The following is a 20469-nucleotide window of genomic DNA, read 5'->3' as shown; positions in this document are numbered from 1 at the left end:
AATCAAAACTAACTGGAGGAATTTTAACAGCCACATTAATAATCCAAAACATAAATAAAGTTAATGTCTTTTGCATGTTTGCCATCGGCAACTCCATTGCAAAATTACTGTTGTACAATTAAAATGTGAAAGGCAAAATTGAGCGCGGCCATTACCCTGGTAGTCGGTGAGACATCGCCCTCCCCCCGCGACAGCCCCAGGGTTTCTTTCCAAAGATGGCCCAACTCAGCGCGCCCACGACAGCTCTGGACTTGGATATCCGCCTGTAGGAACTGGTGGGTCTGTGAGCGCCAGGTGAACCCCCATAAATTAGGGGCCCGCATGCCCCTTTCTCTGGGGTGGAGACGAGCTGGGCAAAGGCCCATGACCCTGTCTCAGGCAGCTGAGCCGCACTGCCGTGCCTACCAGCAATGCTACAGCAAGGCACTTCTGGACCGTAAAATTACTGCAGGCAACAAAGCATTTTTTGTTGACACCAGCAGGGAAGAGAGAAATATATGTCAACGCTGAGCAAAGCGTGTCGGTTTGGAGACTTCTTTTTTGCTCCTGAAAGCCGCTGGGTCTCCACCCTGACAGGAGAACCTGACTTTCAGGAAGGCTCTGCCATTGACAAGCCCCGGTGCAACTCTCCTTCTCCGTAAAGCGTGTGCAGTTTGGGAGACACGGAGCATCTGATTGTCGTTCGTTTTTTGTTTTCCCACCTTAGCATTTGCGGTGTAAGGATGACATACATACCAGCTTGGAAGCTTTTTTTTTTTAAAAAAAAAATACATGAAATTATTTTTAAAAAGCATTTTAGACCGGCAATTGCTGGCGTCTGCTGCTAGGGAGATTGCCTGCAACTGGCATTTAAAGGGAAAGGTGCAAAGCTGGGGTTTTCTCTGGGGTCTCACGCTAAGGCTACGATGCCATCGCAGAGCTGAGTGACTCAGGTCCTTGGTGTGATGGGTCCTGTACCCTCGCCAGGGGGCCTCTGCGGCCTGGGAGAGGGATCTTGCTGAGGCAATGAGAGACAAGCTTTCAGGACTTCTGGAGGGACCCTCACCTGACAGCCATCGTGGAATTCCTGACATTTCTGAAATGTTCTGGAATTCTGGCTGGTTGCTTGGATGGCCTTGCGTGGCTGGGCGCTGGGGCCTGAGCCGGGTTATGGCGTGGCCTCCTGCCTCTGCGGGAAGGGGTGGGCTGGAGGCTGCAGCCAAGCCCCAAACGGCAGCAAGGACGGCATTCTGTCGCCTCGCCCAACCTCCCTGTGCTCGCCGTCCCTAAGTGGCCAGCGAGCTTCAGCTGGATCAAAAGCAGCCGCTGGGACACAGTGGCTGCCCTGACTTAGTCTTAATTTGCTGGTGGGTGGAGAGCACCAGCAGCTCATGGTTCTAACTCCATGTCCCACCAGACCCAAGGTGAACCTGAGCCCTGCATGGCAGGCCTGGGCTGCAGCCCCCTCACCTCAGGGTTTAGGAACCTCTGCTGCAAGTTGAGGCAGCTGGACAGGCACCGGTGTGACTCAAATCTCAGGAGAAAAAAACAAAACAAAACGGTTCTACGTGGCATTTGGTGGAGGAGTGGAGGCTTCAGAGAGTGAGGGAAAAGTTTCAGAGCTGTAGGAATTAACTCTGCAGGGAGAATGATGCTCATTCATTCAGCCTCCGCCCACTCATTCAAAACATTCACCGTCCGCCAGGCGGAAGGTCATCCATTTGATCTGGGGACAGCGACATGGCCCTGTGACTGGCGGTCGCTCCAACTGAGGGAGGACTGCACATTTTCCCCTCTGGCCCCACGTGACCAAACAACTCACTTTCTGGAGAGTCACATGGCCTGGAACCTTCTCTTCTAGCAGCCCTGAGGCTGGCCAGTCACACGGGGGCTGCTCCCCCAACCAGAGTCTTGGGATGAAAATGGCAGGTAGCAGAAGAGAAGATGCTGGCACTCGGAGGGCGGCAGCGGGAGGGACCAGCACTACTGGTGGGACCAGCCCTTGGAGGTTGTTTGTTATCCCAGCCTAACGCTGCCAAAATCCTCCTGAATATTAACCAGGGTCTAGGCCTTGGGCTGAGGGACAGGTGGACACCAGATGTGAAAGACAAGTTTCATCAGAGAGAGACACGCATCACAATAATCACGGTGCCAGGCGGAGTGTGGGGACAGGGTCGGGGCCCAGAGAGCATGTCCAGCTAGGGATGTGGATGTTTCCTGGAAAGTAGAACATCTGGCTGGTCCTTAAATAACAGGGAAGATTTGAGACGTGACAGTGGGCCAGGGAGCAAGGGCACTGCTGACTATAGAGATGGAAGGAGAAAGAGTAGAAGGGTGGGAACACGGGGTGCATGTTAGGTTCACACCAGACAGGTGGTCATCCTACTGCTAGAGCCACTCTGTGCCGTGCCAGGTGTCCACTCTTGCCAGAACCACCCTGTGCCATGCTAGGCGTCAGCTGTTGCCAAAGCCACCCCATGCCATGCTGGGTGTCTGCTGTTGCCAAAGCCTCCCTGTGCCATGCCAGTAATCTGTTGTTGCCAAAGCCACCCTGTGCCATGCCAGTCATCTGTTGTTGCCAAAGCCACCCTGTGCCATGCTGGGTGTCTGCTGTCACTAGAGCCACGCTGTGCCACGCCAGGCGCCTCCTGTCACCGGAGCCTCCCTGTGCCATGCCAGGCATCTGCTGTGGCTAGAGCAGTACTGGACCAGGATAGACCATGCCAGATTTCTACTTTCAGTTTCTGTAGCCCATTGACTGACTGTTTGGGTAAAGCAAGGTTTTAATGGATAATTTGAGAATCAATGTTAATGTTTTAATATAATGAAATAATTTTCTTTATATGATTTTTTAAAAATTGTATATTCCTCAGTTTGCTTTAATGACATCAAAGCAAACTGGTGAGATTCTCTTTCTGATTTCCTAAGGAACTATGGGAAATAGAATTCTCTGATCTCATTTACCTTCTTGGCAAATCTTGCTCGCAATCTGCTCCCCTGAGCAGGGGGACCTGGAGACAGGCTCCATTCTGGGTGACTCTGCAGCTCGGGAGGCCTTCTCAATGAATCAGGAGGTTTAAAGGGATCACCCTGCTTCTACTCAGGTGGGGACAAGTGAGAGTTGGAGATAGACAGCAATGACTCAAGGCAGAAGTGCAAGAAAGCCAGCAGCAGAGCCTGAGCAAGCAACCCAGGAAATGCAGAGCCCCGTGTCTGGGCAAGTGCATAGCCCTAGGAACAAAGGACATGGTGCCCAGTGCACCCCAGATGTCTGAGTGCCATCTGCCCTGCCCACCAGGAGCTTCAGGTCCCTACATGAGCTGAGGGACGTAAGGACTTTATTGTAACTACTCAACTCTGCCTTCCTATGGTAAAAGCAGCCTCCAACAATCTGTAATGCATGGGCATGGCAATGTTCCAATAAAACTTTATTTACAAGAACAGGTAATGGGCTGGATTTGGCCCCTGAGCTGTTTGCAGATCCACTTCCTGTTACTTATGCCCTGAGAATCTCCTTCCCTTGAATGTGGGCTGAATACATGGCTTGCTTCTAAGGACTAGAATGTGGCACTGCTGTGACTCAGCAACAAGAGCCTGTGCCATCTCTCCTGCTCACCTGCTCTTGTGGTCTGGCCAGCCCATGCTAAGGAAGCCAGCTGCCATGTTGTGAGAGGCCCCATGGAGAGGCCCTTCATGGCAAGGAACTCAAGTCCAAAAGTCCACGAACAATGGAATCCCACTAGCAACTGCATGGGTGAGCTTGGAAATGCATCCTTCCCCGGTCGAACTTTCAGAGAAGACCACAGGCCTGGTTGACACTGTCCCAGAGACCCTGAGGCAGAGGACCTACCTAAGTTATTCCCAGATTTCTGGCCCACAGAAACCAAGGTAGGAGATGTGTGTTGTTTTAGGTTGCTATACTGGGATCATTTGCTATGTGGTAACAGCTGACTGATACATCCCAGCTGTAGCTCCAGCTCCTCTAGGAAGGTGCCGGCCTCAGCCAAGCCTCTGCACATTTTGAAGTCTCCAAGACCGCCTGGAGTTTGGTGCAGCCCTTGCCATGAATGTTGGATTTCATGGTGTGGGTGTACAGGTGATAATCCATTGTCAGGGTCCACATGTCTTTACACACACCCAGACCTGGCTCTGGGTGGGGCACTACAGGTACGCAGAGGAAATCTAAGAGATGCTCCTGGCCTTTTTTTGTGGGGTGGGGGGATGGAGTATCACTCTGTCACAGAGGCTGAAGTGCAATGGCACAGTCTCGGCTCACTGCAACCTCTGCCTCCTGGGTTCAAGCTATTCTCCTGCCTCAGCCTCCTGAGTAGCTGGGATTACAGGTGCCCGCCACCACACCCGGCTAATTTTTGTATTTTTAGTAGAGATGGGGTTTTTATTGGCAGGTGTGTCAGTGAGGATGACAGAATTCTAGAACTGTGCATGGGTTAATTTGAGTGGTTCGCTGAGTACAGGTGCCTCAAGAACACAGAAGAGGAGGAGTTGCTGTGTGCTCTAAGTTCTGACTGAGCACAGGGATGTGTGGAGAGAAAGGCAGAGCACTCCAGGTGAGGGGCTGAGAGCAGCACAGGTGTGGCAGCTGGGACAGGGGACACTCTCCTTCCATAGCCCCAGGGGATGGCCTTAGTCTGCTCTGCTGTGACATGGCAGCTGCAATTCTAACAAACCGAGTAGCTTTAAAGACTGTTTTAAAAGCAGTTGTTTCCATAGGAAAAGGAGGATGAGGCCAGAGAGCTTCAGACTCACGATAACAAACATATTTGTCCTACAGATATTTCCATTTTAAAGGTTAGCTCTGAAACTTCAATACTGCTAGACAATTCTGGCGTTTGATTTCGTCCAGTAATGATCTTTGCTTCCCATCATCAGGAAATAGTGCTTCCACCTTCTTATCAGCTCAATAGCCATCATCACCCACTGTTATGATAAACAAAGTTAAAAGACGCTTGAGCCAACCGGCTCTGCGGCTTGCGGACTGTGTGTGCTTCCTGGCCCGTACAGTGAGTCCCCATCACAGGAAGATCCGGGTCCTCACAGATCATGACAGCATCACAAGCGGTGGTGTTCCTCCATGGTGCAATCCACAGCCCCTAACTCATTAACTGCATTATATGCAGTTTGTACACACAAAATTCAACCTGTTGGAGAAAGACTGTATTCTCCTTTTAGAAAACTGAGGCCGGGTACGCTGGCTCACACCTGTAATCCCAGCACTTTGGGAGGCCGAGGAGGGTGGATCACCTGAAGTCAGGAGGTCAAGACAAGCCTGGCCAACATGGTGAAACCCCCGTCTCTACTAAAAACACAAAAATTAGCCAGGCGTGGTGGTGCGTGCCTGTAATTTCAGCTACTCTGGAGGCTGAGGCAGGAGAATGGCAGGAACCAGGGAGGCGGAGGTTGCAGTGAGCCGAGATCACGCCACTGCACTCCAGCCTGGGCGACAAAGCAAGACTCTGTCTCAAAGGAAAAAAAAAAAAAAGCAAAGAAAAAAGAAAGAAAAAGAAAGCTGAGGCTTCGAGGGGTTAAGTCAGAGGCCTCAGAATGAGCTCGATATGAACTTGGATCTGCCTAACCCTAAGGTCCAAGCTGCTTCTCTAAGGTGGGAGTCGCACAACTTTAGGTAAAGGCCCAGATAGTAAGGATGTTAAGCTTTGAGGGATGTAAGGGCTTTGTTGCAACTATTCAACTCCACCTTCTATGGCAAAAGCAGCCTCCAACAACATGCACGGGTGTGGCGGTGTTCCAATAAAACTTTATTTACAAGAACAGGTAATGGGCTAGGCTTGGCCGCTGAGCTGTTTGCAGATCCTGCTCCGAGGCAGAGGAAGGAAGTGCAGGAGGGCTGCAATGAGAGCAGAGGCCTTGACTGGGAGCTGGTGCGTCAAGTGCAAAGAGCCCTGGGGCAGAATTCAAGGCACCTGGCCCAGGTGTCCCAGCCAACACCCTTGTGACTTTGTCCCCATCCTTTAACCCTACAGCTGTCAGGGGTGCAGTGGGAACTGGCAGTAGGTTCTGACCACTCTGTGAGGGGCAAATGAGGGGGGTGTGTGATGGGTTTGGGCCGCTAGCAGAAGGTGGCGCTTCTGTGACACCCTGCAGGAAACAGGAGCTACAGGACATTTCCACAGAGGCAGGTGACGTGACATGAGAGGCCCTACGGGGCAAGTGAGGCCAGGAGGGCACAGGCTGGCTTCACGCCCTCAGTGACCACGTCCTGCAGCCCTCTGTCTCAGTGCTGATTTGATTCCACAGGGCCTCGCTGCCTTAGATGCAGTGGGCAGGCCTGTGCGTCCTGGTCCCACGGATGAGCTGAGCATTCCTGGAGGACCCTCCGAAACCATCTGCACTTTGCTTTTTCTCACCTGAGAAATGAGAGTAACCTTTAAGCCCTGCCTCTGCTTGCGTGTGGCAAGCATCTGTCGTCTATGACAAAGGAGACCACCGCAAGCAGTGGGTGGGGGTCTCCCTGAGATTCTTACAGTCCTCCCACATCTGAAGGTCAGGAGCGCCTGCGCCAGACAGCAAGTGATCTCTGGTCCTCGAGGGGAAGGTCAAAGGAACACTGTTTACAAGACCCAGGAGCAAACGAGGGTGGAGAACAGGCCAGGCCAGCAAAGAGCTGCAGGACAGTGAGCCTGACGCCAGCACCAGGCATTCCGCTCCCCTGTACACCATCACAGAAGCTGCGGATGGGGTTTTACAGCCTCACACGAGCCCAGCCCGGCTGGCTATTAGGCCTTGACCGCGAAGCATCCATTCTTTTTCTCCTTGTGGAAGAATGTTTTCAAATAACTTTTTTTTTCTGAGATGGGGTCTTGCTCTGTTTCCCAGACTGGAGTGCAGTGGCACCATCACAGCTCACTGCAGCCTCAACCTTCTGGGCTCAAGCGATCCTCCCACCTCAGCCTCCCAAGTAGCTGGAACTAAAGGCATACATCACTATACCCATCTAATTGTTTCTTTCTTTCTTTCTTTTCTTTTTCTTTTTTTTTTCAGAGATGAGGTCTTGCTACATTGCTCAGGCTGGTCTCAAATCCTGAGCCCAAGCAATCCTCCCACCTCGGCCTCCCAAAGTGCTGGGATGGCAGGCATGAGCCACCATGCCTGGCCCCAAGAACTCTTAACAAGGGCAAAGTACCACCAGTCTCTGTCCTGGCCAGCCTGGGTCTCCTCGCTGCTCTAACCCCAGGTGGGAGAGGAGGTTTCATGTTTGCCCGTGTGGATTGCACAGCAGATCGTTGGAGGCCACTCCCATTATTTCTGTTTAATAAGATGAAAAGTTAAATAGCATGCTCCAACAGGAAGCAAGGCTGGAGTTCAAGCCTAGACGGTCTCATTCCAGGGCCTGACTTTCCTAGCTATGGCCTTAGCATCTCTGGTCTTGTCCTAAAAAGTCAGGGGATGGAGAGAGGCAGCCCTTGTTAGCCAAGAGTCAACATCCATCAGATAAATCCTCTCCGAATGCTTCTCCACTAGGTACCGTGAGAAGCACTGGCTCATGAGGTAGGATCTGTGTGCCTGGGATGGCATCAGCCACTTGTCCTCACGTGGTGCATGGTCTAGAGCAGGCCACGGGCAGGTCAGCAGGCAATTCCAGCCCTCAGGGTGGGCTCTGTGCTGGGAATGAGCCCAGAGCACTGTGGGGGTGAGCAGCAGGGCTCCCCGGGCAGTGCCTGGGCCTAGGAGGGCTCCCCTGGCCAGGTGCATCCAGGCAGAGACTTGAACAGTGGAGAGGAGAGTTACGGCGTGGAGAGCAAGGGGCAGGGAGGGGCCAGCAGCTGAGGTGGAAGAGGCTGTGTGTTCAAAGGCCCGGGAGAGACGGCACCGCACGTCCAGGGGACTGAATGGCTTTAGAGATCAGAGGTTTCTCTGGGAAGGTTTGAAAGCAGAGAGTGAGACAGTCAAAGCTGTACATGAGAGAGATGGCTTTGGCTGTAGCTAGGGAGTGCACAGGGTGTGGGGACCCAGCCCGGAGGAGCTCCTGCAAGGTCACAGGCTGCAGAGGGTGGTCTGAGCGAGGGCGGGGCTGCAACAGGAAGAAGAGTGACAGAGGCGGACCTGTTGGCAAGGGCCTGGAATCCACCAGTTGCAGTGACCAGGGGACCAAGCAAGCCGAGGCCTTGAGGGGTTAAGTCACATCCCCCATAATGAGCTAGATTCAAACCTGAATCTGCCTTGCTCTAAGGTCCACGCTGCTTCTCTAGGCTTGGACATAACGATACTTCCAGTAAAAGTCCAGACATGAAGGGTGGTAAGCTTTGAGGGACTGAAGGGCTTCACTGTAACTATTCAACTCTGCTTTCCTAGGGCAAAAGCAGCCTCTGACAATATGTAATGCGTGGGTGTGGTGGAGAGACTTGGGCTGAGGCTGGGGTTTCTGTCATGGATTTTGGGGTGGGTGGAGGCACCCTCCCAAGGGCACATGTTAGCAGGCTTGTTGCCACCGTGGCTGCTGCTGCCGAGAGGCTGGGGAGGAGCAGCGACGGCTTCATCCCCAGGCAGAGCTCCTGCGGCACTGCTTCCAGGGCCCTCTGCGGATCTGGTCCTCTCTGCAGCCCTGCAGGCAAGGAGATTGAGCCCCAGGGAGGTGGAGTAATTTACCCAGGGTTATGGGGACAGAGCCAGGAGCCAGACCTGGGCATTCTGGCTTCTAAGTGCTTGCTCTTGGCTACTACACAGAAACTCAATTTTGGACAAGTTGGGTCAAGGAACTTGTGGGTGCGCCCGGCAGAGATGCCAGGCAGACAGTGGGAATTGCAGGCCTGGGTTCCCCAAGAGACTCCCAGGCGGGAGGGGACTCATTTGGGAGCTGTGGCTCCAGAGGCAGCTGAGGATGGAGAGTGACGTGGGGGAGGGACGGGGAAAAGCTGAGCCCCAAGAAACCCCAGAGAGAAGCGGAGCTGCAGCAGCCAGGGCAGAGTGTTCTGGAAACCAGGCAAGGAGTCGGCCTCAAATCAAAGGCCAGGGCAAGACCGGGGACGCGAGCACCCACTGGACTCTGCAACAAGCAGCGCATCGCGTGACTATAAGAAATCACGGTGCACCATTTCAGAGTTGCTAGAAGAGTAGGTTTTAAATGTTTTCACCACAAAAATATGATAGAATGTGATGTGATGCAGATGCTAATTAGCCTGATTTAATCATTCCACATGGTAAACATTACTTTGTGCTCCATAAATGTATACGATTATTATATGTCAATTAAAAATACAAATTTTTTTTTCTAAAGCAGCTCATTGATTTGCATCATGGTTTCAGTGGCATGGGTTAGGGCTGACAAGTCTAGAAGGATAGAACTGTGGGCTGTCAGAGCAGAAAATTCCAGGGGAATTCAAATGCTGACTAGCTAACCGATTACACTAAGCAATTATTATAATTTTCTTAGGTGTAAGAATGACTTTGTAGTTATACATTGTGATGGTTAATACTGAGTGTCAACTTGATTGGATTGAAGGATTCAAAGTATTAATCCTGGGCGTGTCTGTGAGGGTGTTGCCAAAAGAGATTAACATTTGACTCAGTGGGCTGGGAAAAGCAGACCCACCCTTAATGTGGTGTGCACCATCTCATCAGCTGCCACTTAATATAAAGCAGGCAGAAAAAACGTGAAATGAGTGAGACTGGCCTAGCCTCCCAGCCTACATCCTTCTCCCATACTGGAAGCTTCCTGCCTTTGAATATCAGACTCCAAGTTGTTCAGTTTTGAGGCTCGGACTGGATCTCCTTGCTTGCTCCTCGAGCTTGCAGATAGCCTATTGTGGGACCTTATGATCCTGTAAGTTAATACTTAATAAACTCCCATATATATGGGAGTATATATATACACACACACATATATACATGTATACATATATGTATATACGTATACATGTATACACATATGTGCATACATATATGTATACATGTATACACATACATGTATACACATACGTGCATACATATATCTATACATGTATACACATACGTGCATACATATATGTATACATGTATACACATACGTGCATACATATATCTATACATGTATACACATACGTGCATACATATATCTATACATGTATACACATACGTGTATACATATATATATCTCTCTCGCTCTCTCTCCTATTAGTTCTGTCCCTCTAGGGAACCCTGACTAATACAGATTTTGGTACCAGGAGTGGTTCTAGAGAGACAGAATATTCAGGATGGAGTTCTTCTGTTGGTTTTGCGGTTTCCGGAGTTGGCTGCTTAATATGATTAGATCCAAAAATGCTAAGGACTCTACTTCTAGTAGTATGGAGAATGCTGATAGTCCTTGGCGTGAATTGTTTAGAGAGTTATGCAAAATAAATGCATTTGACGCTCCTGATTCACCGCTCGTGAGAGGCAAGGAGTTTAGGGACTCTATACATAATACCTCTGACCATGTGTGGAGAACCAAGAAACATAATGAAGCTGGTTGGTTGCTCCTAAGTTCAATGCACAAAGTGATGAAAGAAAATGATGAACTCAGGGATTCTGTCTCCCAGCTTCAGAAGCAGATACTGAGTCTCAAGTCTGCTAAGATTGCCTTGAGTGAGAGTCTTCACTCCTGTAGAGGAAGAGCTGAAATTGTGGAAAAACAGACACAAGCTCTTACCATGTGAGTGGCTGACCTGCAAGTTAAGGTGCATGCACAGCCTTGCCAGGTGTCTACTATTAAAGTGAGGGCATGGACCGAAAAAGAATGGGACTCTGCAACTTGGAATGGGGATGTGTGGGAGGACCTTGATGAAGCTGGGGACACTGAGCTTGTAAACTCTAATGAACCTTTTTTGCCAGAAGGAACAGCTTCCTCATCCCCAGTAGTGGCAATATCCCAGCCTATTGTTGGTCCTTGTGCTCATGTAACTTAATATTTAATAAACTCCCCTTTATATATATATATATATATATATATAAATATTTTAATATATATAAATATATTATATAAATTAATATATTTATATATTGTATAAATATATTAATATTTTTATATGTAATTTTATATGTATTTTATATGTAATTAATACAATTAATTACAATATATTGTATATTTATACAATTAATATACAATATATATATTAATATATAAATATATTAATATATTTATACAATATATAAATATTTTAATATATATTATATAAATATATTAATATATTTATATATTATATATATTTTAATATATTTATATTATATATACATTTGTATTTTATATATTATATATTATAATATATATTATATATTTTTGTATCTTATATAATCTATATTATATATTTTTATATATTATATATTTATATATAGCCTATTGGTTCTGTCCCTCTAGAGAATCCTAATACATATGTTAAAGAGTTATTATAGGGATATATGGTAAAAGTATTTGTGAATAAAATGATATGATGTTGTAAACCTCTATATATGATGTCTGAGAGCTGCTTGAGGATCACACGGGAGGGGAGGAGGTGGATGTTTGGATGAAGCCAGACTGGCCGTGCTGCCTTGTGGTTGAGCTGGTGGCGAGTGCAGGAGTGTTCTCGACACGGGCGGGTCTTGGAGATATTGTGGGTTTGGTTCCAGATCATTGAAAAAGGGAGTCACGTACATGTTTTGACTTCCCAGTGCATATAAAAGCTATGCTTCTACGATACCATAATCTGTTCAATGTGCAAAGCATTCTCTGAAAAAACACGGAACATACTTCAATTAGAATATACTTTACTGGCTGGGCACGGTGGCTCACACCTGTAATCCCAGCACTTCAGGAGGCCGAGGCGGGTGGATCACGAGTTCAGGAGATCGAGACCATCCTGGCTAACACAGTGAAACCCTGTCTCTACTAAAAATACAAGGAATTAGCTGGGCGTGGTGGCGGGCACCTGTAGTCCCAGCTACTTGGGAGGCTGAGGCAGGAGAATGGTGTGAACCCGGGAGGCGGAGCTTGCAGTGAGCCAAGATAGTGCCACTGCTATCCAGCCTGGGCGACAGAGTGAGACTCCGTCTCAATAAACAAAGAAACAAACAAAAAATCTGCTGCAAAAAAGATGCTGTCACAGAGACGCAAAGTGAGCACGTGCTGTTGGGAAAATGGCACTGACAGCAGGGCTGCCCCAAACCTTCCATCTGTAACTGACACAGTATCTACGAAGCACACTAAGGCCAACTGTGAGGAGTGTGATGCGCCTGCACTTGTCTGTCTCCTTCTGTGTATGCTTGAGATTTCCCTATCTAGAAGTTAAACAACAGAGAAACAGGCAAAGAGGGGAAGAGTTCTCTCGGAAGAGAGTGTGGCTGGAGAGGAGGAGCAGGGCGAGGGTTTGAGAGAGGCCTGGGGGTGGGGTCGGAAACTGCCGTCAAAGCCCTTTCAAATCTGCTGTTCTGGTGCACTCTCAACAGTGGGTTGGATGTGAACCCCACTTTTGTGCGTGACGCGCGGCCCTGGGAGGGGTGGTCTGCCCGGCCACACCTGTGGAGATGGCGCTTCCCTCCTCTGTGGGGATAGCCCAGCTTCTCCTATGGTGCAGAGCCCACCTGCAGCCCCCTGTCCACCCTGAGCTCTGCCACTCACAGGAGACCCTAACCCTTGCAGACTCAACCCCAGAGAAGGTCGCAAAGGCCCAGGCCGGTGATCCTCCCTCTCCCTGGCGGAGCAGCTGAAGGGCTGGCTCACGCTTCGGGGGAGCAGCTGAAGGGCAGGCCCGTACCTCAGGGCTCTCTCGCTCCCTTCGGTGCCAGCAAGTTGCTGAGCAAGTGGGTGCTGAAGAAAGGCCTCCACTGGCTGCCAGCGTGGCGACCTGGAGGGATCCCAGAGAAGCTGGCTAAGGAGTGAAACTCAGGATGGTGAGAGGTGAGGGAGCCTTTCCAAATGCAGCAGCGGGCACCGCGCGATGCTCCACAACCTTTGTCTACAGTGATGGACGTCAGATGAGTAATACTACCAGCCCGCCACCAAGGTCTCCTGGGCATCTGCCGGGCTGTGCGTGTGAAGCCTGAGCACGAAAGGGAACCCTGGCCTGGGGGCCAGGAGGACACCCATGTGACCGCGGCGGGGGAGGGCCTGGGGGCCAGGAGGACACCCACCGTGACTGCGGCGGGGGAGGGCCTGGGGGCCATGAGGACACCCACTGTGACCGCCGCGGGGTTGGCCTGGCAGGACCTCAGAGTCCCTGGGGCCAGTCTCAGGAGTGAGCTTGATTTTTCCCGCATACATAACAGGGATCCCCTGAAGGGTGGAAACAGAAAGTGAGGGGATGGGATTTGCATTTCACAAGGGTCACCCCAGCAGAAGTGTAGAGGATGGGTGGACACAGGCCCCAGAGGCTTCCCTGAGAGCCCCCGCCCAGAGAAGCCTGGCTAGGCTCGCACCTGTGGGCAAGGAGCCTCCCCGCCCTCCACCCTCCGGCCCAGCATTGATGAGGCTGGTGTCAAGCCCATCCTCCCTCGGGGGCTGTGTCTGCCTAGGGGCACCACAGCTCCATCCTGGGAGCTCTCTGAGAAGCTGCTCCTATCACCCGCCCTTTGGCAAGAGGCTGTCCCGGGATAGCGTATGCTGCAGAGAGCCTGAAGGAAGCCGTGAATTCTGAAATACTCCCTGGCATGGGGAAGGGGTGGGCCAAGCTCCCAGTCAGTCAGCAGTGCCTGTGCACAGCCTGCTGTGGGCCGGGTGCAGCGCATTGGAGAATCCCCCACGGCGGAGGCACCTGCATCCCACAGTCTCTCCACTCTGCACTCCTTGGCGAGGGCTTCTTAGTGCATTTGTGCCTGAAGGGAACGTCTGAAACAACACGAGCTGGAGCCCAGAGGGTGGGATAGCGCCCGGGGAGCCCCCTGCGGACTCCGGATAAAGCTGACTCATCACTCTCATCTGTGAAACGGAGCAACGGTTCCCACCCAGGGGATGGTGACCATCTGTGACCAGCACAGTAGGCTTTCGGCAGATGTTTATCCATCATCCAGGACCGTGTAGACAGCCCTGTACGCAGCACAGCCCACCGGCATCAGTTGGAGAGACTGTGGCCGCAGAAATGACAGGGGCGGCCTGTGGTTTGCACAATGTCATTATCGCGTGATATGTTAATAATTACCCAGGGAGCCCTGGGAACGTCGATGATGAGACAGTGCAGCCTGTGGAGTCGGGGTTGCGACGTTAATTACCCTGTAAACAGGTGCCATTCACTCTTCCCTACAAACACATGTTTTCAAACTGGCGTCACTGAAGCCTTTTAATTTCACTTAATAGGCACTAGGACTGGCTTTATTTGTCACTAGCGGGAGCTGAAACAGCTAGAAGCTGTGCTTTTTTTTTTCTCTCATTCCAACCAACTGTAATTAAAAACTTGGAGCACTTAGAAGAAAGGTGGGACCCATATTGTACGACAATTTTTTCATTCTTAAAAACAGCAAACAGATATTTTCAAGACACTTTTCTGTCTTCCACAGCCACATGTACACCAGGAACAACCAAACACCACCTAAAGCCACCAACTGATTTTATTTTATTTATTTTTTGAGACGGAGTCTCACTCAATTGCCATGGCTGCAGTGCAGTGGCACAATCTCGGCTCACTACAACCTCTGCTTCCTGGGTTCAAGCGATATCCAGCTAATTTTTGTATTTTTAGTAGAGATGGGGTTTCACCAGGCTGGTTTCGAACTCCTGACCTCAAGTAATCCACCCGCCTTGGCCTCTCAAAGTGCTAGGATTACAGGCATGAGCCACCATGCCTGGCCGGCCGAGTGATTTTAAATGCTGAGCATGGGTATCTGTCTGTCTTCTGTTTTTGGTGAAAGTTGCGGGGCTAAAGGCCACAGTGCTGGACACTCGGCTCTCATCTGAGCTGGGCAGCCACTCCCCATTGGGTGTGGAAAAAAGGCAAGTCCTGGCTCGCTTTTTGGGGAAAACCTATGTTGCTCTTTTTGCTGGACTAATATTTAACATGCCTGAGTAACCATGTGAGCCTCAGCCTTGAGCTGCGATTGGCGGTGGGCAGAGCAGGGACGAGCCATTACAATACCCAGGCTCACAGCAACCGCCGCAATAAAACTGCCAGGAATGACTTGACAAGCAACAGCAGGACCTGCACCAGGAGCGCTGCCAGCCCAGCAGCACCGTGCCAGAGGGACAGCCAGCTCCCGGGAGCAAGCATGAATAGACGAAAAGGAGGAAGACGGCGAGGATTTCCAAATCCCTTTACTATTTAATACGTTTCCATCAAAATCCCAGGAGCATTTGCTTTTTTTTAAGAACTTGCCAAAATGATTGTAAAATTCATAGAATGGCTGAGAAATTTTAGAAAACAAAGAGGAATAAGACAAGCCCTCCTAAACATGAAAAAAATGTGTAACAAACTGATGTAAATGAAAGCTTTAGAAGTACTAGGGCAACAGTAAAGATGTCTGTGGAACGAAGGAATGTCTTCAGACAGACTTGACTGTGTGTAAGAATTTAAACCATGATTAAGACGCACCACAAAGCAATTAAAAATCAATAGATGGTTTCGGGGGAAAAAACTTCTCTGGAAACAAATGATCCATTTAGAAGCTCACTTCATGCCAGGCTCCAGAATTAATTCCAGGAGGATGAAAGAGTTTTTTTTTTCTTTCTTTCTTTTTTTTTTTGATGAAAGAGTTTAATGGAAAACATAAAACCATGAAAATTATGAAAAAATATCTGGGTGAATATTTACTTGGTCTCAAAATGGGAAGGAGAGATGCCTCAGATATGGAGGTTTGAGCACACAACCACTTAAACACAATAAAATTAAAGACAAAGTATTTGCCATAGACATGATCAAACATGATATCCCTAATATATAAGAAGCTCTAAGAAATCAACACAAAACACTAAGACCCATTAAAATAAAATGGAGACCAGGCTTGAGAATCCCCTGAGCAAAGCCCATTAAGCCGTGGAGACAACCTTGACCTTGCTGGTTCTGCAAACCTAAACAAAACTTAACCTGGGCTATTTCTTGTAAATGCCCATATTAAAGAAAAATAAAACTTAAGCCCAACCAATCAGAAGCCGCCAACAACTTACTGAGGGCACCTCAGGACGTTGGCTGTAGCAACTAGCTTGAGGACAGATATGCAACTAAAGGCAGATATACAGCTAGTGATATGGTTGGGCTGTGCCCCCACCCAAATCTCACCTTGAATTGTAGCTCCCATAATTCTCACATGTTGCGGAAGAGGCCCAGCGAGAGAGAATTGAATCATGGGAGTGGTTTTCCCCATGCTGTTCTCATGGTAGTGAATACGTCTCACAAGAGCTGATGATTTTATAAGGGGTTGGCTCTCATTCTCTCTTGCCTGCCACCATTTAAGACGTGCCTTTCACCTTCCCCAGCCACGTGGAACTGGGAGTCCGTTCAACCTCTTTTTCTTTATAAATTACCCAGTCTTGGCTATGTCTTTATCAGCAGCATGAAAACCAATACAACTAGGAATTTTCTAACAGTTGAGACTGAAGAAGGCAACAACATACTCTTATCAAGTATTTTCTTTGTCCAGCTCCCACATTCACACCATAAAAACGTTCCCCTTGTGTTCCCTTCCCAGAACCCCAAACCACCTTTGGACTGGTGCTGCCTGATTCATGAATTGCTGTCTGCTCGAATAAACTCTTCTAACATTTTGTGTCTCAGTTTACCTTGTAACAGACCCCCATGCAAAAAATAGCCATGAGCTCTGCAGGCATTTAATCACAGACCAGTCATTTAAAAGCCCATCTAGGAAAATAATAATGAGATACCTTCTTGCCTAATAAACTAGGAAAGATTTAAAAGCAGGAGGAAAGAGGAATGCAACCTGAGCCCTGTATCTGGTCACCGCTGCAGGGTGTCAATTAGCTGAAGTATTTCAAAGGTGAAAAATGTTCATGTCATTGGACCAGAAGTTCTGCTTCTAGCGTTTTATCCCAAGGCAGGCATTGGAGACGTTGGAAAAGATTTGTAACAGTGTTCAGAGTAGCTTCATTTCTAATAGCAAGGTGCTGGACCCATAGTCTTGTGCAAATGTATTGGATGATGGAAAATAATGGTAATAATGCCGTGGGTTAACTATGGAGGTTTACCCCCACATGGGACCCAGCCCTCCCCACTCCCTCAGGTGCCCCCTGCCTCATCCCTGGACTTGGCCCCCGTGCCTCATGTAGCAGCAAGCCCACCTGTCCTCTCTCACAGTCCCTCACACAGACATAACACACCCAACATGCACACAACCCACACTGCAAACACAGTCAAGATGGGTCCCAAGCCCCACTCCGAACCACAGTGTGGCTCTTGAGCCCCTCCTAGGTAGACATGCTGGAGCCCCTACTACTTGCAGCCCCCAGAAGGAGGCTACAGATGCCAGGGGTGGCAATCCCAGGTCTGGCCACTACTAGACCCCAAAGCACAGGGCAAGAACTGGAGAAGGCCCGTGGAGGAGGAGGCTAGGAGGGGCGCCTTCCTCCCCAAAGAAGGGCCATGCCTGTACCCGCACTGTCTATACGGGCCCAGGAGATTCCAAGGCACCTCCTAGACTCACTGGACAGACAGCAGGCATGCTCACAGCATTTGAGGGCTTAGTGAGGTGGGCTGGGGGCTTCTGGTCTCTCCCTAGGAAGCTGGAGCAGCGGGGGGCTCTACTCATTGACGGCAGCCCTTCCTCCTGATTCACCCCAACCCAGCTTCCCAGCTGTAGGCCCCAGAAGCCCCCAGGACCGCCGAGTGACCTAAACCATCAGTGGCAGGGCTCAGCAGGTGGGGAAGGCGAGCCGGCTCCGGGGACGAGCTAAGGGTCGAGGGAACCACGAGGCCACAGGCTCCAAGGAGGCGGCCTATGTGGGGACACAGCACCTCTTTTTATTTGGAGGCTCTGTCCTGGGGCAGCTGCCACTAACTCTGGCTAAAGAGCGACCCTGGGGATAACAAAGGTGCACGAGGGGTCCCAGCAGCCGGGGTGGGTGTCGGAGGGCCCTGCTCCAGGAGAGGAGGTCCTGCTCTTGCAGTTCCTGGGAGCTGGGCTGGCGGCCATGCTTGTCTGTGCCAGGACCCCCAGGGCAAAGTGGGTAGAACTTGACTGCCCCTAGTGTCCCCACGACACATCTGGGGCTGAATCAGTTTTCGGTCAGCGTGGATTCATAAATGAACAGAAAACCACAAGCTTTGTTTGGTGTGTGAGGCCAGCTTTGCTATTTTGTTTCGTTTTGTTTTAAAGCTTTAACTGTTTTAGAGCTCCTGGGAAAGGACAGTAGTTGCAGAGCAAACAGGAGAGCTGGGCCGGGCACCTCTGGACAGGAAGCCTTGCTTTAGGCCCTCCCTGAGCTCCCTGGGCCCTGGAGCCGCTCCATCCCCCCTTAGAGCTCAGGGGTCACTCAGTCACTTGTGCTTCTGGGCCGGTGGCCTGGGCTATGTTTGTTACTCCCCTCCCCTCCCCTCCTCCCTCCCTCCCTCCCTTCTTTCCTTCCTTCCTGTCTAAATGTGTTTCTCTCCCTCCCACCCTTCCTCTAACATCTTCAGAATGTTTTCTATGTTCTGGCCTTATGCTAACGTTCTGGGGATAAGAGGGGTCCCTGCCCTCATGGAACTCAGAGAGAAAAAGACCTGTCCTCAGGTGGATATGCAAAGAGCTGTGTACGTGGCATGTTCTGGAGCAGAGGAAGAAACAGCTAATCCTGCCCGGGAAAGAGAAGACAGCTGCCCCATCCAAGGGCTCGCGTGGATGCAGGGCTGCATGGGAGGGAGGACTGTCTGTCCTCCCAGGGACGGGAGTAGGGAGCAGTCATCCCAGGCGGAAACAGCTTGGTATGGATGAGGGGGCACATACTCAAGGAGGGGGAAGCCTGGGGGCTCTGGAAATACAGGCAGGGGCTGAGATGCCTGCTTGGGGTCTGGGCAGGAGTGCAGGCTTAACCTGAGACCAGGGCCCATCCATGAATAGTGAGTGTCTTGAAGGCTGGAGCGTGGTCCCACAGTGCCCGGAACGCTGTGGAATGTGGAGCTGGGCCCAGAACTCTGGCTGGGTCATCTGAAGAGCTCTCCTGCTGAGGAACCCATAGACACTGTCCATACCTCCACCAGAAAAATTTCTGGCCACCTAGTCAAACTCTGCCTATCAGCACTGCAGGACAGCTGTGGTGGTGAATGCCCGAGTCCCCTTCTTCTGACTGTCGCACTGGATCTCCTCTAGGGACCCTCTCGCTTCACAGTTGGCCCAGGTGGTCCAGGTAGAGATGACATCTCCCTGGCTTTGGGCACCTCAGGACGTTGGCTGCAGCAACTAGTTTGGGGACAGATATGCAACTAAAGGCAGGCTGAAGACAGCCAGTGGACTTCCACTGCAGAAAAGGGAAGCTCTCTGTGCCCAGGGCTGTATGGCCACCTTGATGAAGAGCCTGACCAAGGAAGGAGCCAACTAGGAGGAAAGTGGATCCAAGAGGCCACATGGAGCAGCTTGCTGGGGCGCTGGATCCAGCCATGCCTGAAGCTGTCCCAGGCTCTGCAACTCTTCCAGTGCAGGAGTTAATAATGATTCTTTCAGCTTAAGCTTGTTGGCGTTGGGTCCTACCTCCTGCACACTGGAGTCCTTACCGATGGATTATTTTTACCAATTTGTAGTGCCTGGGCTTGTGCATCAATCTCAGCTAAAAATCTAAAAATTATCCTTCCTCTCTGAGTTTAAACAGATTTAAGTATCACGTATTTGAACTTCAGGGGACCCAGAGATCATCTATTCTGAACATTTCATCATTTTACAGATGAGGCCAGACAAACCGACTCACTCACCCAGGGTCCCCCTCATTCACCAAATACTGACTGGGGGCTGACCCCGGGCCAGGTACATTCTGGACACTCATCTTATGAGCAGGACTGGTGCCTTAGTGGCAGCAATGAAGCCAGTACCTGAGTCTCCTCACTCACAGGTCTCCCCACAGCAGCACAAGGTCTCAAGGCCAGACTCAGAGGGGTTAAGTGACTTGCCCGTGGTCACACAGGCAGTAAACAGTAGAGCCGACGCTTGGACCTGCACGCTTACCTATGGGACCACAGCAAAGTCTTAGTTTTCATAAAAGCCTTTGAGCATTTCGGGCCCACGAGTTTGTGGTGCTCTGAAGCTTCCAGCCGAGGGGACGGAAGCTGGCCCAATTTAATTTCCTCTTCTGAAGGCCTACTTGCTCTAAGTCAATACGTTAGCAGTGCCTCTCCTCAGCAGATTAGGGTTGTTACAATGCAGGTACTTGGGCTGCGAGAAGCAGAGGCTAGAAAGGGAATGGCGAACTGGCTTTCTCCTTCCAGAAAACTCTCTGCAGTGTAAACACAGAACCCGGAGGAGTGTGCTGAGGCCAAACAACTGAGATGTCCACTTGCAGGGTTGGCACTGCCAGGCCTGGCACAGGAGATGTGTGAGTTGTTTTGGGTGTGCAAGAGCCAAGCCACATCTGATGGGTGGGGTGGAGCAGAGACCTGGATGCAGGGGCCGTGTCTAGGAATT

At 50.4% G+C, this 20469-nt stretch overlaps 1 protein-coding gene across 6 annotated transcripts in view, besides 6 other annotated features; it reads right to left on the bottom strand.

The window, feature by feature from the left end:
- Positions 1 to 20469, bottom strand: part of SDK1 (sidekick cell adhesion molecule 1) — a 967749-nt gene that overhangs the window by 64709 nt on the left and 882571 nt on the right. The gene's annotated exons all lie outside the window — the stretch shown is intronic.
- Positions 885 to 1401: an enhancer, noted in NCBI's record as "H3K27ac-H3K4me1 hESC enhancer chr7:4242523-4243039 (GRCh37/hg19 assembly coordinates)". NCBI's record gives its function as "activates a minimal SCP1, AML or CMV promoter by ChIP-STARR-seq in naive H9 embryonic stem cells {active_cell/tissue: H9 hESC(naive)}" and the evidence as "EXISTENCE:reporter gene assay evidence [ECO:0000049][PMID:30033119]".
- Positions 1402 to 1918: an enhancer, noted in NCBI's record as "H3K4me1 hESC enhancer chr7:4242006-4242522 (GRCh37/hg19 assembly coordinates)". NCBI's record gives its function as "activates a minimal SCP1, AML or CMV promoter by ChIP-STARR-seq in naive H9 embryonic stem cells {active_cell/tissue: H9 hESC(naive)}" and the evidence as "EXISTENCE:reporter gene assay evidence [ECO:0000049][PMID:30033119]".
- Positions 5524 to 6023: an enhancer, noted in NCBI's record as "H3K4me1 hESC enhancer chr7:4237901-4238400 (GRCh37/hg19 assembly coordinates)". NCBI's record gives its function as "activates a minimal SCP1, AML or CMV promoter by ChIP-STARR-seq in naive H9 embryonic stem cells {active_cell/tissue: H9 hESC(naive)}" and the evidence as "EXISTENCE:reporter gene assay evidence [ECO:0000049][PMID:30033119]".
- Positions 8506 to 9125: an enhancer, noted in NCBI's record as "H3K4me1 hESC enhancer chr7:4234799-4235418 (GRCh37/hg19 assembly coordinates)". NCBI's record gives its function as "activates a minimal SCP1, AML or CMV promoter by ChIP-STARR-seq in naive H9 embryonic stem cells {active_cell/tissue: H9 hESC(naive)}" and the evidence as "EXISTENCE:reporter gene assay evidence [ECO:0000049][PMID:30033119]".
- Positions 13374 to 14254: an enhancer, noted in NCBI's record as "H3K4me1 hESC enhancer chr7:4229670-4230550 (GRCh37/hg19 assembly coordinates)". NCBI's record gives its function as "activates a minimal SCP1, AML or CMV promoter by ChIP-STARR-seq in naive H9 embryonic stem cells {active_cell/tissue: H9 hESC(naive)}" and the evidence as "EXISTENCE:reporter gene assay evidence [ECO:0000049][PMID:30033119]".
- Positions 16936 to 17681: an enhancer, noted in NCBI's record as "H3K4me1 hESC enhancer chr7:4226243-4226988 (GRCh37/hg19 assembly coordinates)". NCBI's record gives its function as "activates a minimal SCP1, AML or CMV promoter by ChIP-STARR-seq in naive H9 embryonic stem cells {active_cell/tissue: H9 hESC(naive)}" and the evidence as "EXISTENCE:reporter gene assay evidence [ECO:0000049][PMID:30033119]".

Source organism: Homo sapiens, chromosome 7 (assembly GCF_000001405.40).
Source record: "Homo sapiens chromosome 7, GRCh38.p14 Primary Assembly".
Taxonomy (NCBI): Eukaryota; Metazoa; Chordata; class Mammalia; order Primates; family Hominidae; genus Homo; species Homo sapiens.
This window is presented reverse-complemented; position numbering and strand designations above follow the sequence as displayed.